The 12,489-nt window shown below is 39.9% G+C and overlaps 1 protein-coding gene and 1 pseudogene across 8 annotated transcripts in view, besides 2 other annotated features; both read left to right on the top strand.

Annotated features, from left to right (window-relative positions):
• Positions 1–12,489, top strand: part of RUBCNL (rubicon like autophagy enhancer) — a 55,362-nt gene that overhangs the window by 4,086 nt on the left and 38,787 nt on the right. For 3 of the 8 annotated variants that reach the window (NM_001286765.3, NM_025113.5, NM_001286763.3), the window contains exon 2: positions 7,952–8,067. The exons of the other annotated variants lie outside the window; for them this stretch is intronic. In NM_001286765.3, the coding sequence (NP_001273694.1) occupies positions 8,004–8,067 (64 nt within the window). In that variant the 5' untranslated portion in view covers positions 7,952–8,003. The remainder of the gene's footprint in view (positions 1–7,951; positions 8,068–12,489) is intronic. 8 annotated transcript variants of the gene reach the window in all.
• Positions 3,480–3,529: an enhancer, noted in NCBI's record as "active region_7696". NCBI's record gives its function as "activates an Ori minimal core promoter by ATAC-STARR-seq in GM12878 lymphoblastoid cells {active_cell/tissue: GM12878}" and the evidence as "EXISTENCE:reporter gene assay evidence [ECO:0000049][PMID:35858748]".
• Positions 7,162–7,241: an enhancer, noted in NCBI's record as "active region_7695". NCBI's record gives its function as "activates an Ori minimal core promoter by ATAC-STARR-seq in GM12878 lymphoblastoid cells {active_cell/tissue: GM12878}" and the evidence as "EXISTENCE:reporter gene assay evidence [ECO:0000049][PMID:35858748]".
• RNU2-6P (RNA, U2 small nuclear 6, pseudogene) lies at positions 11,367–11,553 on the top strand (annotated as a pseudogene).

The following is a 12,489-nucleotide window of genomic DNA, read 5'->3' as shown; positions in this document are numbered from 1 at the left end:
CATGAAACTGCTCATTACTGAGTGACAGCAGAGGACAGGAACTTTGCCTTCTTCATTAACTTCTTTAGGGCCTTTACAAAGTGGGAGATGGTAGGAACTTTGATGAAAATTGAGGGTCATAGCCTTGGAGCGGGGTGAGGGGTTAGATTTGACTGGACATAGTCTTCATGCAACCGTTTAACAACAAAAACATTGTTGGCTGAGTTCTTGTTTTTTGATACAAGGAACATTCTGTCGGAGCCAAGGTTAAACATCCAAGAGTAAACGTTTGTTGGTTTTTTTTTTTTTTTGCATGATCTTTAGAGGATAAGTAAAAAACTAAAGAAAGGCTGCATTGCTTGCTGACACATTTTTTCCCCACCCATCTGAAGGCACACAAATAATAGCACTGGCAAATTTGAATAGTTTCCCTTGTTACCAAATCTACGTTCTTATTTCTAATATGGAACGATTATTTCTAGTATGGAGAGAAATATGGAATTTCTAATATGGAAGATTTAGCATGGTGTGTCATTGTAAAAATTTAGGCAGTTCTTGGATAAGTATGTCCAGCCTTCCAGAGACTATAAGTGTAGTAATATTAGTGCCTGTTAGTCATATTGTGTATCTTCCTGATACCCAATTAGATCTCTGATTGTTTTTTCTTTTTAATTAAAAGGAGCTGAAAGATGACTCAGTTAAGAAGCTGGAAAATAAAACCAGGTCTCTGTAACTGTGCTGTCTTATTCTGAACTGAAAGTCTTTCTGCAATAATAATGATGGTGATAATAAAGCTAACCTTCATAGGACATTGTGTACCAGACTGATACACGTGCTACAATTCTGTTCGTTCTCACACCATCCTTCATGGGGGAGGTTAAGAGCATTGCTCAAAATCACACAGCTAATAAGTCATTTTTCTCAGATTGGCGTTAAAATTATATTTAATTGGGTCCTGTGTGTGCGAGTGTTTTAACTTTTGCATTGTCTTTTATCCCACACACGGAGGCAACATGGATGGTGAGACTAGGGGCTATGGACAAGGTTCCAGGGTTTGGACTTGAGCATGCTGCTGAGTGGCTATGTGGTCATCACTTTACTTCCTTTTCTAACCCGTAAAATGATGATAATAATTCTACATTGAATGAATCCTTTGTTTCTACTGAGCCCAAAGTCTGCTCCGTAAAGGTAAAATACTTCTCAGAGTGTAGAAAGAAAAGTTTCAGATTCAAGCCTTTTTGTCATCAGTAGGCTGGAAAATGAATAGAAGTTAGAATAAACTATACACTTAATGTGATTTTTCCAACAATTATGTTGAAAAATTGTTCAAAAATGCATTCATTCCAATGATCCTTAGCTTTATATTTATTAAAAGAAGTAAATGTAAATTAGACCTCAACGTTTTTTTTTAACAGGTAACGTTGAAAAGCACCCACAGTAAGCAGGTACTGTTTGCTGGTTGATTTTAGATGATGAAAATTGTAGAGTAAGTACGTTTGCAGAAAACTGTAGAGTAAGTACAATTATAGAGTAAGTATAAGAAGAATTGTATTCAAAGGTATTGTATTATTCTTATAAAGAAATGTATTCTTCTTATACTTTTTTACGTTCTTTTATTCCGACAAGCTAGAGTTGATCAGAAAAGAACTGAATTCCAAAAATATGTTTAGGGCACTTCCCTATTCTCTCTGTATTTACTTGGAAATGATTCTTAGAAGTTTTTGGCATGGGACTTTTAAGTTTGTTAAGTGAAGGGACTAGCACTTATCTATATGCATATTTTGCAAGTATTTTTAAAAATATGGCTCAATTGTTAAATCATTTTATTCGTCCCATGACTTATATAAAAATCTGGGGGTTTTTTGGTTGCTCACTTTTAGTTTAGGCTTGGTTTTATGGTGATCTGGGCTCAGGGAGGTAGACATGTCAATGTCATTAGCATTGCCAAGGTATAGGCAGTCTGCTGCATGCTGTGTGAATATTAATATTCTGAAGAGATATTTGAGTCCACAAGATTTAAAGATCTTCTGTTCACCGCTGTGCTTGTAGAATTAGGGCTAAATTAGTTTAGCCTGGGCCTCCTGGGTCTTGGTCATTTGAAAATAGCTCCTCAAGTAGGCTGGCTATGTGTCTTAGTATAGCAGAAACAATTCATTATTCACTCCATGTGTCGTCTATTATACTGTGAAATTACAGATGATAGTTTTCTTGCTTTCTGTTTTTCCAAACAGTGCCACCTGGACTTGTGGGTTTGGCTCATATACTGACTGTTTCTTAATCAAGATAGCTTTAATAGTCTTCACCCTACCCCCATCCTCCAGCTGCCCTTTGGATGTTGCTGTGTAGAAACCAAGAGAGTTCATTTTTGTTGGGGGCTGGGCTAGGTTGCTAATAATCTGAAGCACCATGAAGGATTCTGACCTAATCAAGGCATAAGGAAATGATGTGTGTGTGTGTGTAGAAAATTTGGAACTGTGCCAGGCACAAAGTAAATGTCATATAAGCATTAGTTATGAATTGATGAGGAGGAAGGTGTCAGAAGATGAATGCTGTAGAGAAGGCTATGGGGCAGTACATGGAGAGAGTGGTTATCTGTAGAGATGTGGTTTTGTCATAGGTGATGGGAAAGGTCTCAGTTTGAAGGTGATGGGTAAGGTCTTCATTTGAATAAAGATCCACAAGAGAGTATGGGTAGAGGGGCATAGAGGTGTCCAGGTAGCAGATAAGGAGGTCAGATAGGCAACCTAGGGACTCCTGGACAGATGTAGCAAATTGAAGGTTTTTAGAAAACTTAAACGGGAATTTTTTAATGGAAAATTTCAAACTTAAACATAGAATAGTACAATGAACAACCTTCTCCCTTCTCCCAGCTTCGGCAGTTATCAACATGGCCAGTTGTGCTTCATCCATGTTGCCCACTGGCATTATTTTAAAGCAAATTTAAGAAATTCTACCAATTATTTCTATTTATCGTCCCCACTGACATTCTATCAGTTATTTCTAAATACTTCTGTATATATATTTCTAAAAAATAGGCACTTAAAACATAACCACAATACTTAACTTTTTTTACCTTGTTTATCATCTGTAAATCTTGGCCTTAGAGCCTTCTTGCAGCACTGGTTGAAAGATAAGCATGGATAGGCCAGGCGCGGTGGCTCATGCCTGTAATCCCAGCACTTTGGGAGGCTGAGGCGGGTGGATCACTAGGTCAGGAGATCGAGACTAGCCTGGCCAACATAGCGAAACCCAGTCTCTACTAAAAATACAAAAAAAATTAGCCGGGCATGGTGGTGGGCGCCTGTAATCCCAGCTACTTGGGAGGTTAAGGCAAGGAGAATCGCCTGAACCTGGGAGGCAGAGGTTGCAGTGAACTGAGATCATGCCACTGCACTCCAGCCTCGGTGACAAGAGCGAAACTTTGTCTCAAAAAAGAAGATAATCTTGGATGTCTGGATTCCTTAGGGTAGGGTCTGACAGTAGGTGCTCAATTGCTAGTGGTCATCTGTTGTCTTTACCAGCCCTTGATTTTTTTTTTTCTTTTCCTTTTCTAGATAGTTCTATCATGACAATTTCACTTTTACTTCCTCTTTCTTCTCCTTACCTATTTTTGACACATTTATTCAGTATTTCCCGTATCTACTCTCTACTTCTCCTTTTAACTTTCTCCTATCCTTTCAGTATTTTTGTTCACAGCCTGGTGTGTAGCTTGTGCTCTTTTGATCCCTGTAGCCCATGAAATACAGCTCCCTTTAGTTCTAGATCTTTTTGAAGGGAGATGAGCATTTCCTATTCTTATTTTTTAAAAAATACTGTTACTGAGATTGAGATAGAATTTACATGCCAAATGCTTCACTGATTTAAAGTGTACAAGTCTAGCCAGGCATGGTGGCTCTTGCCTATAATCCCAGCACTTTGGGAGGCTGAACTGGGAGGATTGCTTGAGGCCAGGAGTTTGAGACCAACCTGAGCAACATAGTGAGGTCTTTCCTCTACAAAAATAAAAAATTGGCCAGATATGGTGGCACACCTGTGGTCCTAGCTGCTCTAAAGGCTGAGACAATAGGATCACTAGAGCCCGGGAGGTCAAGGCTGCAGTGAGCCATGATCATGCCACTGCACTCTAGCCTGAGCAACAGAGGCCGAGGCGGGCAGATCACCTGAGGTCAGGAGTTCGAGACCAGCCTGACAAACATGGAGAAACCCTGTCTCTACTAAAAATACAAAAATTGCCGGGCGTGGTGGCGCATGCCTGTAATCCCAGCTACTCTGGAGGCTGAGGCAGAAGAATCACTTGAACCCAGGAGGCAGAGGTTGCAGTGAGCCGAGATCGCACCATTACGCTCCAGCCTGGGCAACAAGAGCGAAACTCCGTCTCGAAAACCGAAAAAAGAAAAGGAAAAAAAGTGTACAAGTCAGTGATTTTCAGTGTATTCACAAATATATGCCATCATTACCACAGTTGATTTTATAACATTTTCATCACCTCAAAAAGAAACCTGGTACCCTTTAGCTGTTCCCATCCCACCACCCTAAGCAACCACGAATCTCCTTTCTATTTCAATGGATTTGCCTATTCTGGACATTTTATATATATATATATATGAAATGTCTTTTGTTTCTGGCTTTTTTCACTTAGCATAGTCATTTCAGTGCTCATCCATGTCAGAGCATAAATTAGTACTTCATTTCTAATGATGGTTGAATAACATTTCATTGTACGGATATAGCACACTTTGTTAATTCATCAATTGATGGTCATTTCATTTGTTTCCACTTTTTGGCTATTATGAATAGTGCTGCTAGAAATATTCGGGCACAAGTTTTTGTGTGAATGTGTGTTCTCATTTCTCTTGGGTATATATATCCAGGAGTAGAATTATTAGATTAAATGGTAACTGTATATTTAGTATTTGAGGAACTGTCAGACCATTTTTCCAATATGGCTTTCCATTTTATTTGCCCAAACATGGAAATCTAGCCATTTTTCAAGTGCAGCTGCCTACCTTTACTTTGGGTAAATTTCTGTATTAATATTTTTTCACTGTCTTAGTTATCAAATTCTGTTGCATGTAAATCTGGTTTTTTTTAATATATGTAAAGTTTTTAGGTAGAATGTTAATTTAGTGGTGGTCCCCAAAGTGGAGGGCATTTACCTTTAAGTGTAAGATGATTCATTGGAAAGAAAGAACAAAATTCTATTTTTACATATGCTGTATGTATCCTAATGTATTAGCATAGCTGTACACATGTAAGGTGTATAAATTAATATTCTTATATTAGATCTGTGTGGTGCAAAGTTTTTTTATACAAGTATGAATAATAATAAAATTTTGTGAACAATTGTCCAGAGGCATGAAATCAAATATACCTATGTAGGTCTTAATCCTATATTTTATGACATGTCTGATGGGAAAGTTCTTAAAATTACTTTGCTAATGAAATTGAAAATAGCCTGCTAATTTCAGCCCACACGGAATGTGTGAAATACCAGTGGAAACAGCTTTGGATCAGGTTCAGACTTTTGTTTTTGTCCTACTTCTGCTAATTACTAATGGCGAGACTTTGGGTAAGTCCCCTAATGGTCTCCATTTCAGTTCTCAACTTGGCATAATAACACCTGAAATTTTGCAAATTATAACTTTGCAGAATGAGACTGGGAAGGGCGTCATATGCAGCGACCAGAGGGAGTTAGTCATTTGGGTGTTTTGGGCAACCCTGCAGTTCTTTTAGGTGAAATATTCAATTTTCCATGAACTTTGCCTTCCCCTTCTTACTTACCCATTTCTCTTGATTGCTTTCTGTCCTTCTGTTGTGTTCTTCTGACAGCAAACCTTCAAAATTAATGGTCATTACCAAAGGCTAAATCAGCTGGAGTGGAGTCCTTTGTGATACCACCCAGCCAGGGAAACAGTATAGCACTGTTTCCTTTCTGCTGCTTTTATTACAACATAGTATAGAGTATATAGATGAAATAAGAAAATTGCAGTTTACTGCAATTCCTGGACACTGTTTTGGAAGCTGTTGAGTTAAATTATTGGGCATCTTGATGGTTTCTATTTGATATGTGATAGTTTTAGGCTCTGTTATTCTCTTTGGGATGTGAATCTTTGCCTAACGTCAAAGCATGAAGAGAAGTAGATCCTGAGAAAGAAGGGAAGAAGTTCTGGGGAACTGTGGTAACCAAACAGCTCACATGCTACAGTTGAAGATTTATTCATGCTCTACTCAGTATTTGTTTATTACTGGCTGTGCTTAGTAACGTACCATAAAATTGATAAAAATGAATTTTACTTTTCACTCTAGACTCTTATTTATTTGTGATTTCTATTCTCTAGTATCCTTTATTCTAAGGAAGTGGTTGATGAACATTTAGGTCATGATTTCTAATTTCTTCTAAAGGGTGACATCCATTCTTGACTTCCTTTCTTGGGTGACAAGGAAATAAACAACATAACCATATCTAGGTATCGTTTGATAATTTGTTCATGATTTCATTCATAAGTGCAAAGAATATATTTATTGAACACCTATTATTGCCACTGGTCTGGGTTCTGGGGACAAAGCAGTGTCCAAAATACGTTATTTTAAAAAGTGCCCTCGGCCGCCTGCGGTGGCTCATACCTGTAATCCCAGCACTTTGGGAGGCCGAGGTGGGTGGATCACCTGAGATCAGGAGTTCGAGACCAGCCTGGCCAACATGGTGAAACCCTGTCTCTACAGAATACTAAAAATTAGCCAGGCATGGTGGCGGGCACCTGTAATCCCAGCTACTTGGGAGACTGAGGCAGGAGAATTGCTTGAACTTGGGAGGCAGAGGTCACAGTGAGCCGAGATTGTGCCTGGGCAACAAGATGGAAACTCTGTCTCAAAAAAATAAATAAATAAAAATAAAAGGGCCCTCATAGATTTAACATTCTGGGGGGTACTAGTCATTGAGGTTAGATACAATGAGATTTGTGCTAAAGAGAGAAATAGAGCTAAAGAGAGGGATAGGAACTGTTTGGGAGGGGCAATTACCAGTTTTTATAGGGTGACCAAGGAAGCATTACTGACAAGGTAAGATTTAAGGTGTGTCTTTACTCTGATGCCCCCAGTTGTGTATTCAATAGGCAGTTAGTATTGGGGCATAGAAAATCCTAAAACCTAAATCTGATGTACTTTTGCCTATTCATGAAATAACTTGAAGACTGTTATACATAGTGGGAGCTAAAGCTGCTCTGCCCTCCAAGTGCTGGCTGCTTATGATCTGAAAGACTTCTGTGAGGTCACCGTAGGCATCATGGTGGCACTGAGGCATCTATCCCTCCTGCAGAAGTTGCATCTTTGCTGTTAATACTGTGTCTCTGGTGGCTCTAGTGATGCAATCATTCTCGATGGGGCCACTGACTCTGATGTCACAATGACTTGGCTGGAGGTGTCCTGAAGTCTCTTGTTTGTCCAGGGCCTTTGCTGCAGCTTATATGTTCACTAGTAATCTGGCCTGTGCCTACCTTTTAATCCCAGCTGGAAAATCTCAGTAAGAATGATGGTAAGCTTTGAGATTGGTATCTCTTCCCTTAAATGTTTTTGGAAATTGATTTTATTGTTTGTACCTAAGTATCTCTGATTCAAAGGACCCCCTTTGTGACAGTGGCAGGAAGTATGTTGAGAAGATGCTAAGTATTGCTTAGACCTGTATTATCTCTGCTTATCAATCCTTGAAATGATTGTGTGTCTGAATGTATAAATGTATGTCTATTCACTATCTCCCTTCCTCCAGAACATAAGCTGAGGAAGGGCAGGAAGCTTATTTTAGTCCCGTCTGTTACCCCAGTGCTACCAAAACAAAAACAATGCCAGACCTGTAGTAGATGCTCAGTAAAAAAATATTTCTTAACTGAATAACTAACACACTACAAACAATATGGCAACAAGTAACATACCTGGCAGTGGTATCATAGCATCTGGCAAATTGTTTTTTGCCTTACAGATAAAATAAAAAATGGGGATATTGACCTCCTGTCACTACTGCATGGACTTTGATGGTTTCCAATCATTACTTTCTCCTCTGTGTCAATCTGCCTCTTCGAGAAATTCATACTCCTGGTGAGTGTCCGACCTGGCCTTTTGTCTTCTCTCTGCCACTGCCCAGCTGTGACCTTAGACATGGTTGTGAATCTATTATGGGCCTATTCTAACTCTCAATGCTTTGATTTTATAACCTGGCAAAGCAGCACCTGCTGGTTATTTTTGTGAAGCAACAACACTTTTCTAGAAGGAAGTGAAGAAAGCACCTGCTTTTGACGGTTGTTTTTTATGAGGACGTTGGTTTTTGCTCAATTCACTTAGGTCAGTCCATGTATGGGAAGTTCCAAATAAGGTCATTCTCTTTGAACTATTAACTATAACTTGTTTATAAAAAACACTGGGATCAGCCAGGCACAGTGGCCCACACCTGCAATCCAGCGCTTTGGAAGGCCGAGTTGGGTGGATCACTTGATGTCAGGAGTTTGAGACCAACCTGGCCAACATGGTGAAACCCCATCTCTACTAAAAATACAAAAATTAGGCAGGCGTGGTGGTGCCCACCTGTAATCCCAGCTGCTAGGGAGGCTGAGGCATGAGAATTGCTTGAATCCACGAGGCAGAGGTTGCAGTGAGCCGAGATCGTGCCACTGCACTCCAGCCTGGGCAACAGATCGAGACTTGTCTCAAAGAAAACAAAATGAAAAACAAAACCACCTGGAATCACTACTGCTTTACCATTTGAGACTGCATGTTTTTCATGTGATTTCACATCTATAGTCATCTCCCCCCACCAAACACACAAAAGATATGTGTAGAAAATTGAGGATAAACCATAACTTACTTATATAGTTTTATTCTCTTGGAAATAATGAGGCTATCATGAACTATGGACTCAGACTAAGAGTGGAACTAGTAAGAGAAAGGAACTAAAAAAAGTCAACCAAAAAATGACATGAACAAGGATGTTCATTGTTATAAACTGTATAACTGCAAAAAGCTAAAAATAAATTTCTATCAGTAGGGTCTGGCTAAGTAAGTATGATATATTTATACTATAGAAAGTGATAACACAGTTTAGGAGAATCACATAGACCCTCAAGACATAATGTTGAGTGAAAAAGAAGATAAGTTGTAAAATATCTCCAGTATGATCCCATGGATGTGTATACAAAAGAAAACATATCTTCTGGTCTGAAATATGTACGTTAATTCATAGATAAAGGTCTAGAAAGAATAGAATGGTTAACAATGTTATTTCTGAGAATAAAGTAGGATTGTGGGGCTTGGGGTGATGAGCGCTGTTCACTTTTTACTCTAGGCTTCTGTGTTTGGGCATTTTATAAAAATGTAGTCATGGTTTCCTTTTGTAATTATAAAATCCAGAATTATTGGAGACGAAAAGATGTGTGACAAAGAGAAATTGGTGCACAAGGTGGGATTTGAGGTCAGGAGAAGGAAGATAGGCATCTTGGGCTGGTGAGTTCTGGCGGTTAACACAACCAGCTGTACTCTGTGATATTTTGTGAATGGTGATTTGGGGCTTTTGTAGTGTTTTCAAGATGCATGTATATGTTTATATATGTATGTTACATACAAAAGATGCATTTATATATTAATATATGTTATATACAAAGGTATATATATATCTATATGCCTCCAGAAACAATATATGTCATATGCAAAAGATATATATATACACACACACATAGAGTTGACCCTTCACAATGCAGGGGTTAGGGACACTAACACCCTGTGCAGTTGAAAATCTGCGCACAACTTTTGACTCCCCCAAAACTTAACACTACTTATAACCTACTGTTAACTGCAGCCTTACTGATAACATAAACAGTTGATTAACACATATGTTGTATGTTAGTGTATAATACTATATAAGCATTCTTACAATAAAGCAGAGGAAAGAAAATGTCATTAAGAAAACCATAAGGAAGAGAGAATATATTTACTGTTCATTAAGTGGAAATAGATCATTATAAAGGTCTTCATCCTCATCCTCTCATGCTGAGTAGACTGAAGAGAGGAAAAAGAGGCGTTAGTCTTGCTGCCTCATGGTGACAGATATGGAAGAAAATCCACATGTTAGTGGACCCACAAAGTTCAAATCCATGTTGTTCAAGGGTCAACTGTGTGGGTGTGTGTGTATAAATTATAATCCTTATTACTCCAGAAGGTATAAACTAAAATATAGGGCCCTCAAATCAAGAAGTCTCCAAAACTCTTGAGACTCAAAGTCTCAAGAACAGTTTTCATATGTACCTTATTTTGGTCTACTGAACTTTTATTATTGGGTGAGAACAATTTCATGTTTTAGGAAATGTGGATTCACTTCTATTCCTACATGAGTAATTCTGCCCCATTAATAGAACAGTTATATCTGCCACAGAGGTCTTTTCTCTAGCTCTTTTTTTGTTTTGTTTTTGAGACAGAGTCTCGCTGTCGTCCAGGCTGGAGTGCAATGGCATGATCTTGTCTCACTGCAACCTCCGCCTGCCAGGTTCAAGCGATTCTCCTGCCTCAGCCTCCTCAGTAGCTGGGATTATAGGCGCCCGCCACCACGCCCAGCTAATTTTTGTATTTTTAGTAGAGATGGGGTTTCGCCATGTTGGTCAGGCTGGTCTCGAACTCCTGACTTCAGGTTCTCCACCCGCCTTGGCCTCCCAAAGTGCTGGGATTATAGGCATGAGCCACTGCGCCCGGTCTTTTCTCTAGCTCTTAACTTTGTCTCCATTTTGTTGGATTTGTTCTTTCCATTCATAAACATTTATTGAACCCTGATATGCAGCTCTAGGTATGGGGCATGCTACCCGGCAGGGAACAGACAAGGCCCCTCCTCTCATGAAGCTTACAGTTAGGTGGGAGTAGGGGGAGAATGGCGGTAATGAACTAAAAAATAGCAGGAAGTGAGCACCTCTGTGACGAAAACTAAATGTTTATGGTGATGTGAGAGGTAATGATGGGGGAACTACCTTAAGCAGAAAGGTGGTTAGGAAAGATATCTTTGAGGAAGTAATTTATAAATCAAGGCATTTATGACAGGAAGGAGCCAGATGTGTCATCATCTGGGGGAGGAGCATTTCAGAAAGAGGAAACATAAAACAGCATTCCTAGGGTTAGAAGGAGCCTATAGGGTTCAATAACTTGCAGTGTGGTTGGGGCTTATGGATGCTGGATGAAGATAAGTGAGAGAGGTTTACAGGGACAGCATCATGTCAGGCCTTGAGGGCAAGGTAAGGAGTCTGGATTTTATTCCAGATTTGATGGGAAGCCTTTGGGGGATTTCGATTAGGGCAATGACATGATCTGATTTAGGTTTATAAAAGATCTCTTGAATACCTCTTGATTATAAATGGGCAAGAGTAATCGCTTCTCGGCCTTTTGGCTAAGATCAAGTGTAGTATCTGTTCTTATCAGTTAATATCTGATATGTCCTCTATCCGAGGACAATATATTAAATGGATTTTTGGAGCAGGGACATGGACTAGGAGCTTGCTCCGTCCACTCCATGCATCAACTTGGTATTGCTGTACCCCTAGGAACGGCGCACCCCTCTGGGTGTTAAAACACGGTGTTACTGGCCGGGCACGGTGGATCCCACCTGTAATCCCAGCACTTTGGGAGTCTGAGGCAGGTGGATCACAAGGTCAGGAGTTCAAGATCAGCCTGGCCAACATGGTGAAACCCCGTCTCTGTTAAAAATACAAAAATTAGCTGGGTGTGGTGGCATGCACCTGTAATCCCAGCTACTTGGGAGGCTGAGGCAGAGAACTGCTTGAACCTGGGAGGCAGAGGTTGGAGTGAGCCGAGATTGTGCCACTGCACTCCAGCCTGGGCAAGAGTAACAGCAGAGAAATCTATTGGGAAGCTATGGCTGCACGTCCAGGTGTGAGAAGACGGTAACTCAGACTAAGACAGCAGCTATAGCTATAAACTTGCTGATGGAATGAAGTTGGAGAGCTAAGGAAAGATAGGATCAGAAATGACTCCTAAGTTTCAGGCTTGGGCAATTGGAAGAGGGAAAAGCAGGGAAGGAGCAGGTTTCAGGAGAAGTGAGTGACTGTTTTGGATGTATCAGGTTGCAGTGCCCACTGGACAGATGTCAAATAGGCAATAAGATTTGCTAGCCGGGAAATCAGAAATAGAGATACATGTGGGAGTTGCCTGCATGCACAGCAATGGTATTTACAGCCCTGTAATTGACTCCAAAGTCTCCTGTTCACCACTGTGCAGGGTGAATGTGGCATAGGCCACCCTTCTATCTCTAGGCCTTCCCCTGTCTCTTCTTGCTTTTTGCTGTTGAAAGTTGCTTTTAGCTTCACAATGCAGAGGGCAGTGGAAGAACAGAAAAGCAAAACATTTCCCGAGCCTGTAATTACAGTGACAAGAGTGCTTCTTGTTTGTGTAGCTCTCAACATTTTAATCATTACGTCTTCACTAAAGCTAAAATCTGAGCTTAGAAGTGAGTGGGTTTTAAAGATGGGTTCT

The sequence above is a fragment of the Homo sapiens genome, chromosome 13, assembly GCF_000001405.40.
Source record: "Homo sapiens chromosome 13, GRCh38.p14 Primary Assembly".
In the NCBI taxonomy this organism is placed as follows: domain Eukaryota; kingdom Metazoa; phylum Chordata; class Mammalia; order Primates; family Hominidae; genus Homo; species Homo sapiens.
This window is presented reverse-complemented; position numbering and strand designations above follow the sequence as displayed.